General features: G+C 51.7%; 2 protein-coding genes and 1 long non-coding RNA gene across 6 annotated transcripts in view, besides 6 other annotated features; 2 read left to right on the top strand and 1 right to left on the bottom strand.

Annotated features, from left to right (window-relative positions):
* The window catches only part of FLNB (filamin B), a 163,830-nt gene extending 153,095 nt beyond the window's left edge, over window positions 1-10,735 (top strand). For all 4 annotated transcript variants that reach the window (NM_001164317.2, NM_001457.4, NM_001164318.2 and 1 more), the window contains 4 exons: window positions 1,638-1,814; window positions 6,924-7,142; window positions 8,074-8,277; window positions 9,059-10,735. In NM_001164317.2, the coding sequence (NP_001157789.1) occupies window positions 1,638-1,814; window positions 6,924-7,142; window positions 8,074-8,277; window positions 9,059-9,246 (788 nt within the window). In that variant the 3' untranslated portion in view covers window positions 9,247-10,735. The remainder of the gene's footprint in view (window positions 1-1,637; window positions 1,815-6,923; window positions 7,143-8,073; window positions 8,278-9,058) is intronic.
* Window positions 38-1,237: an enhancer, noted in NCBI's record as "MED14-independent group 3 enhancer chr3:58147281-58148480 (GRCh37/hg19 assembly coordinates)". NCBI's record gives its function as "activates an origin of replication core promoter dependent on BRD2, BRD4, P300/CBP and CDK7 cofactors, and independent of MED14, by STARR-seq in HCT116 cells {active_cell/tissue: HCT116}" and the evidence as "EXISTENCE:reporter gene assay evidence [ECO:0000049][PMID:35650434]".
* Window positions 113-310: a silencer, noted in NCBI's record as "fragment chr3:58147356-58147553 (GRCh37/hg19 assembly coordinates)". NCBI's record gives its function as "represses an EF-1alpha promoter that drives an FKBP-Casp9 reporter gene in an ReSE screen in K562 erythroleukemia cells {active_cell/tissue: K562}" and the evidence as "EXISTENCE:reporter gene assay evidence [ECO:0000049][PMID:32094911]".
* Window positions 246-540: an enhancer, noted in NCBI's record as "tiled region #12305; HepG2 Activating DNase unmatched - State 17:Gen3', and K562 Activating DNase matched - State 5:Enh". NCBI's record gives its function as "activates a minimal TATA promoter and a strong SV40 promoter by Sharpr-MPRA in HepG2 and K562 cells {active_cell/tissue: HepG2 | K562}" and the evidence as "EXISTENCE:reporter gene assay evidence [ECO:0000049][PMID:27701403]".
* FLNB-AS1 (FLNB antisense RNA 1) lies at window positions 1,031-9,119 on the bottom strand. Its single transcript, NR_135534.1, has 2 exons — window positions 8,981-9,119; window positions 1,031-4,599 (listed from the first exon to the last, which is right to left on the bottom strand). It is a non-coding gene; the product is annotated as an FLNB antisense RNA 1 (long non-coding RNA).
* Window positions 2,547-3,360: an enhancer, noted in NCBI's record as "H3K27ac-H3K4me1 hESC enhancer chr3:58149790-58150603 (GRCh37/hg19 assembly coordinates)". NCBI's record gives its function as "activates a minimal SCP1, AML or CMV promoter by ChIP-STARR-seq in naive H9 embryonic stem cells {active_cell/tissue: H9 hESC(naive)}" and the evidence as "EXISTENCE:reporter gene assay evidence [ECO:0000049][PMID:30033119]".
* Window positions 4,066-4,360: a silencer, noted in NCBI's record as "tiled region #1271; K562 Repressive non-DNase unmatched - State 7:EnhWF, and HepG2 Repressive non-DNase unmatched - State 17:Gen3'". NCBI's record gives its function as "represses a minimal TATA promoter and a strong SV40 promoter by Sharpr-MPRA in K562 cells, with weaker repression in HepG2 cells {active_cell/tissue: HepG2 | K562}" and the evidence as "EXISTENCE:reporter gene assay evidence [ECO:0000049][PMID:27701403]".
* On the top strand, window positions 10,261-20,324 carry LOC124909485 (uncharacterized). The gene is made up of 6 exons (XM_047449435.1): window positions 10,261-10,357; window positions 10,555-10,645; window positions 12,023-12,134; window positions 16,192-16,330; window positions 16,411-16,491; window positions 17,977-20,324. Exons 1-6 carry the CDS (start codon window positions 10,261-10,263, stop codon window positions 18,984-18,986), a joined length of 1,530 nt encoding a protein of 509 aa, XP_047305391.1. The 3' UTR covers window positions 18,987-20,324.
* Window positions 17,128-17,177: an enhancer, noted in NCBI's record as "active region_20000". NCBI's record gives its function as "activates an Ori minimal core promoter by ATAC-STARR-seq in GM12878 lymphoblastoid cells {active_cell/tissue: GM12878}" and the evidence as "EXISTENCE:reporter gene assay evidence [ECO:0000049][PMID:35858748]".
* Window positions 20,325-20,463: the final 139 nt, after the last annotated feature.

The following is a 20,463-nucleotide window of genomic DNA, read 5'->3' on the forward strand; positions in this document are numbered from 1 at the left end:
CCAGACAGGATTTGAACCCCTACAGATGTATGAGATCATTAGCATGACACAGTTACTATTGATTGCAAATTACAGAATACCCAGCTCAAGCCAACTCACACAATAAAGGGGCCCAGTAAGTTGCATAACTAGAAAGTTCAAGACATCCAAGACAGGTTTCAGCAATTTGATTTGGTCATTGAGCTGCGCCCTGCAAGGCGTCAAATATTTCTGCTGTTCTGCTTTGTGGGCCTGGTTCTGGCCTTCCTCTTGGTGGCAGGATGGCCTTCCTCTTGGTGGCAGGATGGCTGCAGCAGCACCAGATGTCCCACCTTCACGCCACATCAATTAAGAGAGACACCCTCTCAGGATTCTTAGAAGTCGAGAGCCTCCTTTCCCAGAAGTCTCCAGCACGTCTGCCTTCCCCTCTCACTGACCTGGACACATGCCCACTGCTGAGTCATTTCCTGTGGCTAAAGAAATGCCATGTGCTCATTGACTAAGGCTTAGTGAAGAAGGATTTTTCCCTGATCCACTCAGGGACCACACCTGGACATGGCGGTGGAGCCAGCTTCCCCTACAACACATTGGCTTTAAGGGAGGCGGATGGGGACTGTTGGAGGATGTTCAGTGCCAAAGGACGTAGGGTGCACAGCTTCATGGAGGTGCACCTCTGTGGAGACGTCCAGAGGCAGGGAGAAGAGCTTTGGGGAACACAAATTCTGAGAGGGATGAAGAGTACTAGGCACCAGGGAGAGACCGAGAGACTACCTGGAGAGGTAGGAGGAGAACAGGCTCTGCACCCTGGGCAGGAGGGCTTCAAGGAGGAAGCGGCAGTCAGGTGGTGCACAATGGGTAGATGTTCTAGGTGCCCACTTCAGTTAACAGATTACCTTGCTACATGCTGTGACCCAAACGCACAGCCACAAACCTGCCCTGTGGGGGCAGTTCCTAGCTTTGAGCTTAATTAAGGAGCATTAATGCCAGTTGGAACCGTTTTTTTTCCCCTTCAAGTGGCCAAATAGAGAAACATAGAAGAAGTGAGGTTTTCTTTTTTCCCTTCATATATATTCCTTTTTATTTCTTGTTATGCCTTCCCAAAACAGAGACATTGAACAGTAGTTAGAATGGCCATCTCCCAATGTTTAAAAACAAACTGAACTCCCCAATGGGTGAACAAAGTAAAGAGTAGTAACCTGGAGTTCAGCTGAGTAAGCCGCTGCGGAGCCTTAAGTGGTGAGGTCTTCCAATTTCAGAGTGCTGTGTCTTCAACTTGTATCATCATTTTAGTGGAAAAACATAATTTAATTTTGGTGAAATGAGATTCATCTCGTGACAGGATTAGTAACAGCATTCACAGAATTTCACACTGAAGAAGTGAGGTTTTCTAAAGAAAGGAAGTGTTCTTCTGAGGCAGGGGTCAGAGTCTTGTCCTGTGTTTATAGGATTTGCAATGTGGATGCGTTTCCCTTGGGGCTGATGAGGGATACCCAGGGGGTCTGTCTGGTTCTGAAATCCAGGATGCTGAGTGCCAGGCTCCCTGTAGAACTGTTGATTTTAAATGGGCCATCTCAGCTTGGCCTCCATCCTTTATCCTCACTGAACTCAGGGGTGTCCATTTGCTTGATTTCACCCTGTGCCTTTGCTCATTCTCCTAGATAAGTATGCTGTTCGCTTCATCCCTCATGAGAATGGTGTCCACACCATCGATGTCAAGTTCAATGGGAGCCACGTGGTTGGAAGCCCCTTCAAAGTGCGCGTTGGGGAGCCTGGACAAGCGGGGAACCCTGCCCTGGTGTCCGCCTATGGCACGGGACTCGAAGGGGGCACCACAGGTAACCCACTCTTCTGCTTCTTGAAGCCTTAACTGAACCAGCTCCAGGGACCAAGCCAGATGGAAATCCTCAAGCCCCATGAAAGCTTTTTACACGTACTCCCCGTGGAAACTGGGGTCATGCACACTTCGGAGGCGCTTGCTGTCCAAAGCTGTTTTGGGAGTTGCGGTTTGACCCACGATAAATCCAGAGTGAGAGCTCGATGGCCGTGTTATCACACCTCATTACTGTTAGTTGTGATTCAGATTCCTTCCTCTGCCAAGTTTCTTGACTTTCAGAACAGGATGCTGATAGTCAGGGAACACAGCACAGTGTCATTAATTTTGAGGGTTTCTTTGCCTGCACAGAATTCATGATGCGTCCAAGTGGGCTCCTACCCGTCTGTTCTTTCATGGTACCAGGCTCCCAGAAATGCACTGAAGCAGCAATAAGACCTGTCCCAGCCTATCTCCTCCTCTTTTTACTCTCAGATCTTAATGGAGGAGGAGAAAAGACTGAAATGTTCAAAGAATTCTGAAGCTTTTTAGACCCGTTACAATTTACTTTTATTCTTTGCCACAGATGGGACATGTTTGATTATGAAAGATACAGGCAGTGAAGAAGTAAATAAAGTGAGACTCACTCCATCTTCTCTCCTCCTCCCCCACCTGGGTCTGGAAGCAAACGGCTCTGGGAAGGGAGGACCTTCACCCTGTCTGTCATCTCATTGTCTGTCTTCATTCTTGGTTGCTGGGTTGGTTAGCTAATTGGTTCATTAGACAAGCAGACACAGAGTTTTGCTTTTGTCTTACAGAAAGAATCTTACTGTATCCACTGTGTGGTATAGCTTGTGTTTTTGCTTTGACATCTTAAAGATCTTTCCATGTCAGAACAGATCTTCCCCTCCTTTTCCTGGCTGTAGTGAGAATTCCTGCTGTGAATCGCAGTTATTTGAACAGGTGGCATCGGGTGGTGCGCAGTGAGTGCGTCACTGTTATGGAGGCTGCCAGGGTGGAGAGTCAGTCCTTAGTCTTTGCAGGGGAAGTGCGCAGTGTGGACTCACTGGGGCATGTTTGCATTTGGTGTTACTTTGGACCCTCTTGGGAAAGCAGTATGTCCTGGTTTCTTGAGTCTCTTGTGTGTGTACCCCCACCCCGCATAAGGAGAGTGGGATGGAGCAGACTTGCCTCCCAGGGGTGAGGGGTGAGTGGCTGCATGGTTGCCTGGCATCCAGCCCTAGGAGCAAGTGACCTGTGTGGCCAAGGGGCCCTCTCCGGGTGCAGGAGTGACTGGTGGGCTGGCAGGCTGCCCGGGACTCTGGCCAAAGCAGTGGCCTCAGCAAAGCCACCCACAGGGGTGGTGTGAGTGCTGCCAGACTCCCCAGGCAAATCCAGCCCGGCTCCACGCTGAACTCTGGGCCTGCGGCTTGCCTTTTGTGAAAGGCATGGTATCATTTTACCGTAAGTGATGTCCATTTTACAGATGTGGAAAGTGAGATGCAGAGGTTGAGTCACTCCCCAAACAACACTCCCCCAAAAAGCAGTCAGCTGGGAGGAGGCAGAACCAGGAATCAGTCTACATCCGTGACCTCAGAGCCTATGCGCTGAACCCCCGAGCTTGGCCCCCTCTCTAAGTGGCTGGCTCACCCAGAGGCAGTGACTGCATCCCCAGCCCACTTTGGGGATGTCCTAAACCAGGACCCCTGTCCTCCCAGCCACTCAGGAGTACTTTCCAGGCAGCAGTGCTGGCACTTGGGCCCTGACAAGGTACTCACCTTTGAGGGCCCAGGTGGGGTCCTCTCGGCACTTGGAGCGCGTGGCAGGCTTCAGGCCAGGCCTCACAGCAGCTGCTGGGGTCTCCCACACTGGCCAGGAAGCATCTCACCCTCCTGCTGGCTCATGCCGCTGTGCCTGGGCCCTCTCCCATTTCCTTTTGGCTGTTCGCACACCTTTTTGGGAGCTTGGGTTTCAGGCTGTGCTCTGCAAGTGCTGGACGCTGCTGAGAGAAGGAGTTGCTCTTGCAGGGAAGCTCCTAGCCAGGAGGGGAGAGGTACAGAACCGCCTGCTTCAAACCCTGTGTAAATATTGCTCTTGTCACAGGGAAGGCGCCTTGTTTTTCCAGCCCTCCTGCTCCCAAGCCTTTCCCTAAATATCCATTCTGAGATTACACAGCTGCAGTGTGCATGGAATGAAAAGGTATCTGTGCTTGGCCGCCAGAGCGCCCAGTATCCTGACCTTCTGAACAAAGCAAACCTCCCTCTGTTTTTAATGGGTGAGTTTGCTGTATCTCTTGGCTCAAGCTTTAAATGGTCCATTCTGTAGATTTTGGAGTAGGGGAATGTGGAGAATTTGGGGCGGGACCCTGCTGGAGGCGGCTTGAGAGGCTGGGAGATAGACCAGGGAGCTCCAGATTCTTTGGAGCCGCTGAGCAATTTTCCTAATGAAATGGTCCAGGAACCCCAGTGTGCTCGGGGTATACCAGAAGGGCCTCCTTCCTTAACTGCCTTGAAGAACAAGCAGTGCTGCGTTTAACATGCATTAAACTCACAGGAACTGAGCTGGACATATTTGAGGGGGTGGGGGAAGACCGCCACGCCCAGAGATGTTTTGTGGTGTCAGATACAGGTTATAGCTAGAGGCAGTGGTGAGAGACTTCTGCTTGTGGATTTTTTTCCTTCCATCTTCTCTCAGGTAAGTGCTTTAGCTCCAAGTTGGACAGACTTTATGTTTAAATCCCAGTTCTGCTGGTCCCCAGCTGTGTGACTCCAGATGAATTATCTGACTTCACTGTGCCTCTGCTTCCTTTCCTGTAAAACAGGATTAATAACAGGACCCACCTAATAGGCTTGTTTGGAGCTGTAGAGGAGGTAACAGCCAAGTAGTAGCTCTTGTCCCATAACCCCTGCTTTCTCTTTTCCCACCTCGTCTTCCCTGCCCTTTTGGGCCCTCACAGTCAAGATGAACTGATTTTTGGTTGGTCAAAATATTGCATTAGGGCCAAATGGGTGCGGTGGCTCATGCCTGTAATCAAAGCACTTTGGAAGGCCAAGGCAGAAAGATTGTTTGAGGCCAAGAGTTTGAGACCAGCCTGGGTGACATAGTAAAACTCCATCTCTACCAAAAAAAAAAATTTTTAAAGACGAACTTAGGAATGAAACAGCTTGTTAAAAAATGGTGGAACTTTCCCCTGCAGCCACATCATTTCAACTTCACTTTAAAAATATCTTTTTGGCCTGGCACAGTGGCTCACACCTGTAATCCCAGCACTTTGGGAGGTGGAGGTGGGAGGATCACTTGAGCCTAGGAGTTTGAGACCAGCCCAGGCAACACAGCAAAACCCCATCTCTACAAAAAAATTTAAAAATTAGCCAGGCGTGGTGGTGCATGCCTGAAGTCCCAGCTACTTTGGAGGCTGAGGCAGGAGGATGGCTTGAGCCTGGAAGATTGACGCTGTGGTGAGCTGTGATCATGCCACCGTACTCCAGCCTGGGCAACAGAGGAAGACTTTATCTAAAAAAAAAAATATTAGTAATAAGGCCGGGTGCGTTGGCTCATGCCTGTAATCCTAGCACTTTGGGAGACCAAGGTGGGCAGATCACTTGAGGTCAGGAGCTCAAGACCAGCCTGGCCAACATGGTGAGACCCCATCTCTACTAAAGAAATACAAAAATTAGCTGGGCATGGTGGCGAGTGCCTGTAATCCCAGCTAATCAGGAAGCTGAAGCAGGAGAATCGCTTGAACCTGGGAGGCGGAGGTTGCAATAAGCCAAGATCATGGTACTGCACTCCAGCCTGGGCAACAGAGCGAGACTCTATCTCAATCAATCAATCAATAAAATATCTTTCCTTATCATCACCTTACAGCTGCTTCCTGGATGGACACACTGTCTCCTTGTTGCTCACCTCCCGCTTCTTCCCTACGTAGCCCCAGGCCTCAGAGCTGCTGCTTGAGGGGCTTCTTGGCTGCACAGATTAGATACCATGATGAGGTTGAGATAGTGTTGGGGGTGGACCTTGGGGCAGGAGCCTCAAGAGCTTCCAGGAACAGCTGGGTTGTGTTTGAGAGTTGCACGATAGCAGCTCTTTTGTTTTTATTGATATCCAGAACAATAATTCTTTCTCTGGACTAGGAGCTATAATTAAACCAAAATATTTCCCAGCTGGGGCAGTGTCTAGGGCTCTGGCAGAAGCATAGCCCTGCATGGGGATGCTATGCCAGGCATGCCCCATAGAGGGCACTGTAGCAGGCATGCGCCAGACCTGATGACTGAAGGAGGCTCTCCCTGGGCCAGCTAAGTTGTCTCAGGGCTGCAGTTAGGGGATCTGAGGCAGCTCCACTGCCCATCCAGGGGTCAAGAGATGAGCCTGGCACCAGAGCCATGCAGACATGGTTCAAACCCGGCTCTACCACTTTCTGGTTGTGTAGCGTGACTGGCCCCCTCCCTGAGCCGCAGAGTCATTTGTGAAGCAGGAATCACGGAAAGGATTCCATACCACATGCGTAAATGGTGCTGTGCACAGGACCTGGAGCCGGAGTGGGGTACGCATGCCCCGTCAGCGGGAGCTGCTGTTCTGTTCCTGTGCTTGTTGCTGGAATTCACGGCAAAGTGGGTGGGCTGGCAGGTCACAGTGGCTGCACCCGGTCTGCAGCACAGTGCCTGGGGTGAGGGCTGAGGAGGAAGGGAGGAGATGCTTGGCCTCCCTGGCTTCTCCAAGTCTACCCGGAGAAGAAAGGACAGTCAGAGGGGCCCACGCCTCCCCCACACCCCTGGAGGGAGAGCTGGACTCTGGTGGCTGAAGCAGCACTTCAGGCTCACAGTGTGACTCAGGCTTCTTGCCCTCAGCCACAATGGCTCATGCCCAGAGGAGAGAACAGGGTGTCCAGGCTGTTGGTGCTTGTGGGCGAAATGTCAGCCATGCTCCTCCTGCCTTGGCCTAGAAAAGGGAGCCCCCACCCCGCAGGGCCTGAGGTTCTCTCTGCCAGAAGTTCAGAGCTAGTGCCAGTGGGTTCCCATGCCACCAGGGTGAGCCCTCTGTAAGGGGATCTATGTGTGTCCCTCACCACGGCCTCAGTGCTCCCAGGAAAGCCCTCCAAGTCATCAACACAGCATTTTCTATTCCTTTCTCCCAGGTATCCAGTCGGAATTCTTTATTAACACCACCCGAGCAGGTCCAGGGACATTATCCGTCACCATCGAAGGCCCATCCAAGGTTAAAATGGATTGCCAGGAAACACCTGAAGGGTACAAAGTCATGTACACCCCCATGGCTCCTGGTAACTACCTGATCAGCGTCAAATACGGTGGGCCCAACCACATCGTGGGCAGTCCCTTCAAGGCCAAGGTGACAGGTAACGAACAACCACCTTCGGAGTTACTCTCCCTTCCTGGGGAGCTGGTTGTGTCAGATCAATCATAGTGGAAACTATGGATGGTTTTAGATGTGTTAAAGCTACTTTGAACTTTGAATGTCAGTAAATAGTATGAGATGTCAGAGGGCAGTGTTTGAAACTTACAAAAGTCCACAGAGTGGAGCCGTGCAGAAGTTGAGAAAGCATGTTAGGATGTTAGGTGGTTTTCTATCTCTAACAGGAAAGAATACATATTGAAATCTTACGTATTTGTTTAGATCAGGGTCTGAAAAATCCCCTGATTTCTAATTTTCACTTGAAAAATAATCAAAAAGTTTTCCTATACTTATAAAAATGTGTCTCCTCCAAAACACTGGAAAAAATACCAAACTATGAAAACCACTTCACAGCCACCACCCAAGGTAACCACCATAAACACTGTAGTAAATCCCTTCCACACGTCATGATTCACTGTTACATAAAGAATGTAGGTTCATCGCAGGAAAATTAGAAAATTCAGATAGAAAAATCATCCTTTCTCATCCACAGAATCATTTTTTGATATTTCATTATATGTCATCCCAAACTTTTACACTGCTTATACATAGACTATTTTATGTCAATAGAAAGATGTGAATTCCACAGGCACATCTTTGGTGGGTAGGGGGTGGGGGGATTGGGAGGGTCCTTGGCCTTGTCAGCCAAGGCCAGACTCATCCATTTGCCCAGAAAGCCAGATCCTAGTTGTATGGGGGTGGGATCCTAGGGGTTTAGAAGACATTATGGGTGTGAGATACAGGTGTGGTGGCTTTTGTGTTGGGGTGCGCGGGCTCTCCTGGGGTTACTGTGTAGGGTACTCGCCTGTCCTCTGGCTGAGAGACCCCTCTTGATCTGGCCATTCATGCCTGTCCCCCTCCCTCCTGTATCTTAGGCCAGCGTCTAGTTAGCCCTGGCTCAGCCAACGAGACCTCATCCATCCTGGTGGAGTCAGTGACCAGGTCGTCTACAGAGACCTGCTATAGCGCCATTCCCAAGGCATCCTCGGACGCCAGCAAGGTGACCTCTAAGGGGGCAGGGCTCTCAAAGGCCTTTGTGGGCCAGAAGAGTTCCTTCCTGGTGGACTGCAGCAAAGCTGGTAGGTGTCTGGGCCTTTTCAAGGGTGGGGTGGGGCAGGGGCAGGCTGGGCACCCTGGGTACACTGGCCTTCCCTGCTGAGGTCTCCTGCAGTGCCCACCCCCATGTAGGCCAGCCGTTTGCAAGTAACCATCGTCATGACCCTGTTCTCCTGCACTTAATATTTTTAAATGATTTCCTTCTCTTTTGCCTTTTGAACTTGGGTATTTATTTGGGTTTCAAGGGTCGGTTGCCTGGGTTCTGGCATCCAGTACACCTGGGCTGGAAACCTAGTACCGCCACTTCATTCATTCATTCGTTTGTTCTAAAACTTATTTAGCCATGTGACCTTGGAAAGTTATTAAATCTCTTTCCAAAAGTCAGTTTCCTCTTCTCGGAAGTACCTTCCTTAAGGTGCTTGTGAGAGTAAACAAGAAGATTCTCATAGCCAACACTTAGAATAGCCCTTACTGTGTGCTAGGTTTTGACACCCATAACTCTTAAACCTCACAACTAGTTCGTGAGGTATGTGCTGTTCTCATTCCCTGTTTACAGATGGGGAAGCTGAGCTAGGGAGAGGTGAGATTCCAGTCCAAGGTCACCCAGGTAGCAAGTGGCAGGGCAGGGATTCGAACCCACACCGTCAGGCTCTATGAGCCTCTGCTTGTAATTGCCACGCTCTCCCACCTCTTAGGGGCCCCAGCATTATCGTGGAAGCACCTTACCTTTGGCTCTCATATTTCCTCTTCTTCCTGTGCCTGTCCTGATGCATCCGGGTGGAGTAACCACCTTTTGCCTCCTAGGCTCCAACATGCTGCTGATCGGGGTCCATGGGCCCACCACCCCCTGCGAGGAGGTCTCCATGAAGCATGTAGGCAACCAGCAATACAACGTCACATACGTCGTCAAGGAGAGGGGCGATTATGTGCTGGCTGTGAAGTGGGGGGAGGAACACATCCCTGGCAGCCCTTTTCATGTCACAGTGCCTTAAAACAGTTTTCTCAAATCCTGGAGAGAGTTCTTGTGGTTGCTTTTGTTGCTTGTTTGTAATTCATTTTATACAAAGCCCTCCAGCCTGTTTGTGGGGCTGAAACCCCATCCCTAAAATATTGCTGTTGTAAAATGCCTTCAGAAATAAGTCCTAGACTGGACTCTTGAGGGACATATTGGAGAATCTTAAGAAATGCAAGCTTGTTCAGGGGGCTGAGAAGATCCTGAGTACACTAGGTGCAAACCAGAACTCTTGGTGGAACAGACCAGCCACTGCAGCAGACAGACCAGGAACACAATGAGACTGACATTTCAAAAAAACAAAACTGGCTAGCCTGAGCTGCTGGTTCACTCTTCAGCATTTATGAAACAAGGCTAGGGGAAGATGGGCAGAGAAAAAGGGGACACCTAGTTTGGTTGTCATTTGGCAAAGGAGATGACTTAAAATCCGCTTAATCTCTTCCAGTGTCCGTGTTAATGTATTTGGCTATTAGATCACTAGCACTGCTTTACCGCTCCTCATCGCCAACACCCCCATGCTCTGTGGCCTTCTTACACTTCTCAGAGGGCAGAGTGGCAGCCGGGCACCCTACAGAAACTCAGAGGGCAGAGTGGCAGCCAGGCCCACATGTCTCTCAAGTACCTGTCCCCTCGCTCTGGTGATTATTTCTTGCAGAATCACCACACGAGACCATCCCGGCAGTCATGGTTTTGCTTTAGTTTTCCAAGTCCGTTTCAGTCCCTTCCTTGGTCTGAAGAAATTCTGCAGTGGCGAGCAGTTTCCCACTTGCCAAAGATCCCTTTTAACCAACACTAGCCCTTGTTTTTAACACACGCTCCAGCCCTTCATCAGCCTGGGCAGTCTTACCAAAATGTTTAAAGTGATCTCAGAGGGGCCCATGGATTAACGCCCTCATCCCAAGGTCCGTCCCATGACATAACACTCCACACCCGCCCCAGCCAACTTCATGGGTCACTTTTTCTGGAAAATAATGATCTGTACAGACAGGACAGAATGAAACTCCTGCGGGTCTTTGGCCTGAAAGTTGGGAATGGTTGGGGGAGAGAAGGGCAGCAGCTTATTGGTGGTCTTTTCACCATTGGCAGAAACAGTGAGAGCTGTGTGGTGCAGAAATCCAGAAATGAGGTGTAGGGAATTTTGCCTGCCTTCCTGCAGACCTGAGCTGGCTTTGGAATGAGGTTAAAGTGTCAGGGACGTTGCCTGAGCCCAAATGTGTAGTGTGGTCTGGGCAGGCAGACCTTTAGGTTTTGCTGCTTAGTCCTGAGGAAGTGGCCACTCTTGTGGCAGGTGTAGTATCTGGGGCGAGTGTTGGGGGTAAAAGCCCACCCTACAGAAAGTGGAACAGCCCGGAGCCTGATGTGAAAGGACCACGGGTGTTGTAAGCTGGGACACGGAAGCCAAACTGGAATCAAACGCCGACTGTAAATTGTATCTTATAACTTATTAAATAAAACATTTGCTCCGTAAAGTTGCCTTGGTGTTCTTGGATGATGTCGCTTCTGAATAAATTGTTTAATCCTAGGAGTTCAACACCCTCAGCCTGGGTAACAGCAAGACCCAGCCTCTACAAAAAATTAAAAAATTAGCCAGCATGGTGATGCATGCCTGCAGTCCCAGCTACTCAGGAGGCGGAGGCAGGAGGATTGCTTGAGCCTGAGAGGCCAAGGTTGCAGTGAGCTGTGTTTGCAACCCTGCACTCTAGCCTGGGCAACAGAGCAAGACAGTGTAACACACACACACACACACACACACACACACACACACACACAGGCACATCGTTGGAGCCCCAGATCAGCTCTCCCAACCCCTTAAGGGACACAAAACTAGCAACTTGTTTTGACAATGAACCTGGGCTCCTTTTGTGGGGGTGGGGTGGGGCTGGTAAACAAGCTGTCACCTGTCACCCTGCTGTGCTTATTGTTGCTGCTGCCTCTGTTTCTCTTTTTTTTTTTTTTTTAATTTTCCTTTTTTGAGACAGAGTCTCACTCTGTTGCCCAGGCTGGAGTGCAGTGGCAGGATCTCTGCTCACTGCAGCCTCCGCCTCCCAGGTTCAAGTGATTCTTCTGCCTCAGCTTCCCAAGTAGCTGGGACTACAGGCGTGCACCACCATGCCTGGCTAATTTTTGTCTTTTTAGTAGAGATGTGGTTTCGCCGTGTTGGCCAGGCTGGTCTTGAACTCCTGACCTCAAGTGATCCGCCCTGCCTTGGTCTTCCAAAGTGCTGTATTACAGGCGTCAACCACTGCGACTGGCCTGTTTCTCCTTTTTCTAGAAGAGCTTTTGATTGCTGAATGCTTACGAGGTACCTAGCACCCCTCCTCCGCCCCCACCTCCTCCTCCTCTGTCTCCGCCTCCTCCCCACCCCACAGCAGTGATACCGCTTTACAGATGGCACTACCACCTCAGGTGCTGCAATGACATGTTTGCAGATGCAAAGCTCACTTGGGGGAAGACCCTAGGCCCCTGCCTTCTTGACCCCAGGGTGCTAGCTCTACCCCCTGGTGATACCGCTGTGGAAACAGGAGTCCCCAGATAGGCCCCGGCAGGTGCCACGGTGATGGGAAATCACGGCTGGGCCCCCAGCCCTCCAGATGGGGGTTGGGGGTGGAGAGAAAAGCAGGGAAGGGAGACTGGATTCTTCTGACACCTGGCTGTCAATTGGGATCAATTGTTTGCCTCTGAGAGGAGGGAGGAAGAGAGTGGAGGAAAGGTCCTCTCCTCCCGGAGGGAGCAGCCTTATCTGTGGCCTGCACCAGGAAGCACTGCTTCCTGGACTCCTATCTGAGAAGGTCCGTGGGCTTCGGGATTCTGCAGTGGCGGGCAGTTCCCCCACTTGCCAAAGAGTCCATTCAGGCTCTGCCCGGTGGGGTCTGGCCGGGCCACAGTATCATGCTAGTTTGCCCACAGAGGAGCACAGGGCGCAGCCATTGGTCTCTCCACTGTGAAGCCTGGCGGCTTTCTGTTGGGGGAGGCAGCATTTGTAAATTAACAGCATGGGCTTTGGTGTCAGGCACCCCAGAGCTTCAACGCTGGCTCTGCCGTTCATTAGCTGTGTGGCCCTGGGGAAGTCGCCTTGCCTCACCTCTCTGGGTGGTCGTGAGGATCAAATAAGAGCCCACAGGGAGCTGTAAGGAACAATTCCCTGCCAGAGTCTCAGCCACTGCTGTCTGTGACCAACACCTGCTGGAAGTGATGTTCCTGGCAGAAGGCCGCCCCCTGGCTGCTTGTTGGCATCTGGGGCTACACTTGGTTGTCCCCTGCATGGGAGCGATGGTGATGTTACCCTGGGGTAAATTTCCCCACTAGAAGCCACTGCCTCCTGTTACATCAAAGACATCCCAGGGTGGGATGCACCTCTTTATCAGTCAATGGCTAGGACCACAGGGCAACCCTTACCTGCACCTGGGCTTGGCTGCTATGGAAACCAGCTGTTTGTGCAAATACCTTGAAAACTTTGAAACTTGACCCCGGACAGGCCTGGTGCCAGGTCCTTTCCGACTTTTGTGTTTTCTTTCCACCTTTCACTACTGACTTTGCCTCTTTCCTACCAGGAATGGACAGGGCCGATGGAGGTGAAGCGGACAGCAGCTGCACTGCCCTGTAGAGATTCCCAGGCCCTGCCCACTTCAAAGCACACAAGCCCACCTCTTCCTCATCACATTTCCCTTTGCAACCCAGGGAGGCACTCACCAGGATGCTGCCAAGAAGGAAACATTTTATTAACATGTTTCTTTGTTTCCGATGCACTTAAAACACTTGGGCCTCTTGACCAAGTCTAGTTTTAGGACTTCAAAGGGGCGTTGAAAGCCACATTTTGATGACTTTGGTGTAAAATGAGTAGGGCATATCGGGATTTAATTTCCCTTGAAAGTTGCACAGACTTAAAAATTAGCAGAATAGGCTAGCAGAATAGGCCGGATGCGGTGGCTCATATCTGTAATCCCAGCACTTTGGGAGGCCGAGGCAGGCGGATCACCTAAGGTCAACAGTTCCAGACCAGCCTGGCCAACATGGTGAAACCCCCTCTCTACTAAAGATAGAAAAATTAGCTGGGCGTTGTGGTGCAGCCTGTAATCTCACTACTCAGGAGGCTGAAGCAGGAGAGTTGCTTGAACCCGGGAGGCAGAAGCTGCAGTGAGCTGAGATCGTGCTACTGCACTCCATCTGGCCTAGGCAACAGAGTGAGATTCCATCTAAAAAAAAATAAAACAAATAGTAGAATAAAGGTTAAAGGCAAAATGAGTGCTTGATCCTTGTCAACCCGCCAAGTTTATATTAAAAATGGGGAGTGTTGCTGTTAACTGAAGTGCGCATTAGCCTCAGTTCTCAGCCCTATGGAAGTAGAGTCAAGGAAAGAGATGGAGTCTTTCCAAATCTCCATTAACTTGGAGGGGGAAGAGGCTGTATAATCTGTATATTTCACGAATGAAAACTCCCAGAAATTAGTATCTTATGCAGGTATTTTTTCCCTTTCACAGTAGTAAATCATAATTTGAGGAAGTAAAAATGTCACATTGGGGGCAGTAAGGGCTCAGGCAAGCCTGGATTCAGTTTATTTTTCTGGCTTTGTCCTAAGGATGCTGCCTAACGCATGGTGGGAGGAATCTTTCTAAACAAAGAGATCCTTCTCTGCTTCGTGATAAGGCTTTTGTCTGAGCCCCCAGGCCCACGGGGACCGGCTCATGGGCATGGAATTTAGGGAGACCTACTCCACAGCCCTCACACCCTTTTTCTCTCTTCCTCAAGAGCTCTCAAGAGCAGGCAGGAAATGGAGAATCTACGAGCCTGACTTGTGGCACGGATCCACATATCCAAGGGTGTTTTGTATTTTGGACTCGCTTATCTCCCCGGGACAAAGTACAAAGATGAAAGAATCTGCAAGCCTTTTGTTGCCCATGTTTCTCCCTCTGCCCTGACTGCCTTGCCAAGATACCAAAACACCTCTCCCTGTCGGGGGCTGCCCTCCCTTTCTAGGAAGTGGACGTGCTTAGGGCAAAGCTGGTGCTGAACCCCGGCAGGGTGTATTCAGAGGAGGAGAAAACCTCAGCAGAAGCACCAAGTCCTGGAAATGCCAGCTTCAGGCCCAGCTACAAGCAGCCTGCTCCATAGCAGCAGAATAACCTCGTGTAGCAGCAGCATTCAGAGAACAGCGGGTCACATGCTGCAGGTTCAAACCGGATTCCAAGCCCAGCGCTGCTGCTTACCAACCGAGATACCTCAGGCGGTCACCTTCTCTGTGCCTCACTGCTCTCATCTGTAAAATACGGAAATAATGGGAAACTTCCATTCTAAAATCAGATGAACTCCAGAAAGGCATCTCCCCCTGCCTCCCTCCCGCTCAGCACATCCACCCCGCAACTGGCCTGGGCAAACTTTCCTCAACCCAAAGCTGTTGAGAGAGGGACTGCCTGAGTGTTGCAGAGATTCGGCTCCCCAAGGCAGACTGGAAGGGGCACCCCAGCTAGGGAAAGGGAGGCTTATGGAGAAGCCATTAAGCGTGGTGGCTCTAAGGTTGGGCTGGGGATTCAAATCCTGGCCCTGCCATGACCTCTGGCAGGCAGGTCACTGATCCTTCACAGAAAACTGTGCCTCAGTTTTCTTTCCAATGAAATGGGGTAACAGGACCCACCCCATAGAGTGTTCTGAGAACTCACTGACAAAATATACGTAAAGAGCATTTCAGGCCAGGCATGGTGGCTCACTCCTGCAATCCCAGCACTTTGGGAGGCCAAGATGGGTGGATCACTTGAGGTCAGGAGTTCAAGACCAGCCTGGCCAACATGGTAAAACCCCGTTTCTACTAAAAATACAAAAATTAGCCAGATGTGATGGCATGTGCCTGTAATCCCAGTGGGGAGGCTGAGGCAGAAGGGTTGCTTGAACCCAGGAGGTGGAGGTTGTGGTGAGCCAAGATCACGCCACTGTACTCCAGCCTGGGTGACAGAGCGAGACTGTCTCAAAAAAAAAAAAAAAAAAAGGCATTTCACAGAGTCCAGTACATGATAAGTGTTCGTGAAATTACTATTATTGGTGTAAAGGAACTAAGACATTAAGTTCTGAGTCCTAGGAAAGCAGTGTGGTGTGGCAGACAGAGTCTTGGTCTGGGCATTAGGGTTAGGCAGTATCAGTAGGAGTGGGTGGGGTGGGGTGGGCCAACCACAGAACTCTGTCTGAGGTGGGATGTTGGTGGCCTCAGGGAGTGGCCAGAAAGGTGGGAGGAGAAAGGGGTGAGTCACATGCACCTAGGAGGGCTCCAGCCCACATGCCAGCCTGTTCTTGTCCCCTGGTTTCAGAGCTTCACCATTTTCCCTTTGCATAGGCCTAGGCCAGTGACAGACCTGAGGGCTGCTCCCACACTGCGCCATCCCAGGGATTGTTAGATGGATGGAGCTTAAATAAGTTAATAAACTAAGAGTAAGAAAATTATCATCGTAAGTAACACTAACGCTATGCACTGAGACTTACTATCACATTTTTTAAAGGAGAGTTTGTCAAGGCTCAGAAAGGTTTAGTGACTGGCCGGGCGCGGTGTCTCACGCCTGTAATCTCAGCATTTTGGGAGGCAGAGGCAGGTGGATCACTTGAGGTCAGGAGTTCAAGACCAGCCTGCCCAACATGGTGAAACACCACCTCTACTAAAAGTACAAAAATTAGCCGGGCGTGATGATGGGCGCCTGTAGTCCCAGCTACTTGGTAGGCTGAGACAGGAGAATCGCTTGAACCCGGCAGGCAGAAGTTGCAGTGAGCCGAGATCGCGCCATTGCACTCCAGCCTGGGCGACAGAGCAAGACTAAAAAGAAAAAAAAAAAAAAAAAGGTTTGGTGACTTCCCCAAGGTCACACAGGTAGTCATTAATGGTCAAGGCTGTGTTAAAACTCGGTAAACCTGTCTAGGAACGGGGCCGTGAAGTTGTGCACGGCTCCAGACACAGAAAACAGAAGCCAGAGGAGGCTCTCCTAGCGGGCCGTTGGCCTCCTTGGGCCCGCGGAAGGCGGCCCTTTGGGAGCGCCTCTCTGCACCGTCCCAGCTCCGCTCCCCTCTCGGGGAAGTTGTGGGCCTCGGGGGTGAGAGGACGACTGCCTGGGTTGTCGTGGCCGCAGTGACCGCTAGGGGTCGCCTTGGACACGCGAAATACGTCCGCGAGCGGAGTCCCTGCGGTGGGGAAGGCGCGGGCTCTCCCAGACCAGGAGGAGGGGGACCCACCCACCTCTCTTCTTCTGCGCTGGTAAGTCCGGGGGCTCCAGCGCAGAAGCTTCGGGGGTGGGGCAGAGAGGCTGTCTGGAGTTCTAGCAGCAGACTCCGCCCCGCAACCGATTGACTCCAGGGTCCTGCCGCCCCCAAGCCCCGAAACTCCTGACTTCCTCCCTTCACCCCTCACCCCCACTGTCCCCAGTAACAGAGCCAATGTGAAGTGCGCCTAGGCATAATTTACTTGAGCACATTTCCCGGGCACCTACTGTGTGCCAGGCTCGGCCCGCGGAGACACCCGAGTTACAGGGCAGGGCAGGATCAGCTCCGCGAGGCCAGGGCGTTTTGTCCTGTTGTTCACTTGCAGCCCGGGACACACAGTAGGCCCTCCGCCAGGAGAGAATGACTAACTGGTGCTTAGCTCCTGCTCAGGCAGCCTGCAGGCGAAAGGTTCATCAGTCACTACTGTGCGTGCCCCGGGGAGGCATCTCAGACCCAGCTATTCCACTTAACCTGAGTTTCTTCCCCAAATTTCCCAAACCCCTCACAGTCCATTTCACACGTGGAAAGACTGAGGCCCAGAGGGCAGTCTATACATCCGTGGCCTTTCTTGCCTTTCTAACTGGGGGGTCCCAGGCTGCAACACTCTTCCCCTGTGCTTTGCCCCTGGCTAACTCATGTTCACAGTTCAGGTCTCAGTCAAACGGCACCTCTTCCAGGAAGCCTTCCCTGACCCACTCACTGCAACCTGGCTAAGCGTCTGCCTCCCCTTCTAGAGGGTGAAACCCTGAGAGCAGGAAGTACCTGGGCTCTGTCTTTCCTCATCTACATTTTGAGCCTGGCTTGGTGCCTGGCACAGGGTCAGAAGCTAATGACGTTTGTTGAATGAAAAGTGGAAGGCAAGCGGCCCCAGGGCCCTGTGGGCAGCCTCCTTCTCCCTGGTCAGGGAGGCAGAAGGTGTGAGGATCCAGGTGGCTGACTTTGTGGTACCGCCGAGGCGTCAGGTGGGTCCTCCCCTGCCCCGCCCTGCCTGCGCCTCTCTCAAGTGCCCATCCCACTTCCTGGGAGAATTTTGTGTCTGTAACACAAGGACGTGGGTTTTGGGGTTAAACCCAGAGATTCCTCAGTTTACTCATTTGCGAGAGTGACGCAAGACGGCCTGTTTGCAAATCACTGTGAGGATTAAGTGATGTAACAGTAAAGTCCCCAGCCCGGGGCCTGGCATGGAGTAGGTACACACCAGCGGGCACACCAGCCTCAGTGCCCTGGGGCAGTCACATGGTTTCCAAGCCTCCATTGCCCCACTTGGAAAGGAGGACATGAAAGCCTACTAATGGGGAGGATGGTTTAAGGCACACAGAGCACAGCTTAGCACCTGGCACCTCACGGGTGCTTGTGAAACTGCAGCTGATGTTGAGGGAGCACTTCCTCCCAGCCAGACACTGTCCAAGTGTTTTATATGCTGGTCTAGTGTCATTCTCCCAATACTAAGGGTAGTTCCCACTCTCACCCTCCTGTACAGATGAGGCCACTCCGCTAGCAAGGGACAGAGCTGCGTATCTGAGGAGCTGGACCCTAGAGTTGCCCTGGAAACCTCCTCAGCTGCGTGTCCAGCGCTCCCTGAGGCCGGGGAAGACTGGGCCTCTTTTTGGACCCCCATTGGGTGCCTGGCACATAGTAGGTGTGCATCAGAGTTTGCTGAATGGAATAGAGGCTGCAGCACCCCGTGCGCCACCCCAGAGCCCTGTGGGTGTGAAGGTAAAGGCCTGGGCCCGTCCCTCGGGGGAAGGACAGGCACCTTGGGTGGGTTGTGGCCAGGCTCTGCACCCTTTTCCAGCCTGGTCTGTTCTTCTGCCTGTGGGACCCCCCAAGTCCCCCAGGGCAGCCCAGCCTCTCCTCTCTTTCAGGGCCTTGGCAACCCAGCCCTCATCGGCTGCATGTATCCTTGGAGATGAGGCTCTGGGAGCCCAAACACAGGCCGCAGAGCTGTGGGAAGAGCCATTCTTCCCTCCTCCACCTCTCCCTGCCCCTGGGGAGCTGTGGACCTCCCAGAACCAGGCCTGCTGGAAGGAATGCATCCAAAAGGAGGCCACCACCCAAGTTGCCTGGAAGATCAACGATGGCCACAAGTACCTAAGGGAGGGGACCGTGCCCAGGAAGCAGCTCCAGCAGGCCCCATCCAGGTCAGCCTTGGTAGCGGGCCCAGTGCCTGCCACCAGCTCCCGTGATAGCAAGGAGGTACAGGTTGGATGGCCAGAGACCAAGGGGGCCCAGAACCAGCTGTCCAAGGGAGTGGGTGTCCAGGACTCCCCACCCAAGGGAGACAGAGTCTGGAAGGCCAGAAAAGCAACTCAGGGGCCAGCAGGTCAGACCAGGCCGGAGAGTTTAGAAATGAGGCAGGTCTCCCCAAGAATCCTGCAGCTGCTCTTCCCAGGCATCTCCCACGATGGCCAAGGCCACGCCCTGGACCTCCAGGCACGGCATCGGCTGAAGCCCGAGGAGAAGTTCCAGTACCCAGTCATGTCATCCTAGGAGTACAGCTGGCACGTGGGTAAGGGCCACCACCATCTTGCCATTCCAGGCCTCTGGCAGGCAGGCCTGGCCTCCCTCCCCAGCCTCATCCTTCACCACCCCTCACCCCGGCTCATGGACCTGGATCACCTTCCTCTGAGCACATAGACCTTGGGGATGTGCTTAGGCACCTTCACACTTCCAGGCCTTTTCATGCTCTGGTCTCTCCACTTGGGATGCTCCTCCTGCTGCCCCACCCTGATGAAATTTCACACATCACCTCCTCTGGGAAGTCTTCTGAGATGCCTCCAAGCAGATTAGTTGAGCCCACCTTCATGCTTCTGCAGGTTTTTGAGTCCACAGAAGCACTGGGCACACGGAATCACCATTCCTTATATATCCATCTGGCCTGGGGAGCCCTTTGGGTTCCAAGACTTCTTAGTTAACTTTATTCATGCCCTCCCAGCTCCCAGCCTGGGGCTGGTACTTGACTGTGGAATGAATGAACAAATGAATGAACATGGACTAGGGATGAGAACTTGATTTGCAATCAGGAGGTATGAGTTCAAATCCTGGTTCTACCACTTCTGAGTTGTATGATCTCAGGCAAGAGCCTCAACTTCTCTGGGCCTCAATTTTCACATCTGAAAAATGGGAATAACCTAGTATGTGCCTTCCTGTGTCATGGAGTTTTGGGGAAATCAAGTGGGAAAGCACTTGGAATAGGAACTGTCCTCACAAACCCCCTGTGAGGTAGGAACCAAGTGTGATTCCATCATTCAGAATGGAGAGGAGATCTGGAGTTACTGAATCCCAGCTCTACCTGGAAATGAGTCACTGAACAAACAAGCACAGAATTGTGAATCAGTTTAATTAGGAGGCTTGGGTTTGATTTCTGGCTCATTCATTCATTCAGTCTGTCAATCATTTAACAAGTGTTTATTGAGCTCCTGGTATGTGTCAGACACTTACACTTTTTGTCCCTGGGCATACAACAGAGAACAAGACAGACATGATCCCTGCCCTCACCAAAGGTAGACAACAAACAGATAATGATGCGGTGTCAGGCAGTGGTCCACACTACTACAGAGCAGCCCTTTTCCATCTTTCCTATGCACAGGAATCAGCTGGGGTCTTGGTAAAATGCAGGTTCTGACTGGGGCAGGGAGTGGGCGGTGATGGGGGAACTTCTGCATTTCTAACAAGTTCCCAGATGGTGCCGATGCTGCTGGTCCATGGACCATACCTCGAGGTCAAGGCTAAAGGAGAAGATAAGTTAGAAGAAGGAGATGGCCAGGTATGATGGCTCATGCCTGTAATCCCAGTGCTTTGGGAGGCCAAGGCAAAATAATCACTTGAGTCCAGGAGTTTGAGACCAGCCTGAGAAACATAGTGAGACCCCATCTCTACAAAAAAATTTAAAAATTAACCAGGCATGGTCGTGTGCAACTGTAGTTCCAGCTACTTCGGAGGCTGAGGTGGGAGAATTGCTTCAGCC

This window comes from Homo sapiens, chromosome 3 (assembly GCF_000001405.40).
Source record: "Homo sapiens chromosome 3, GRCh38.p14 Primary Assembly".
In the NCBI taxonomy this organism is placed as follows: Eukaryota; Metazoa; Chordata; class Mammalia; order Primates; family Hominidae; genus Homo; species Homo sapiens.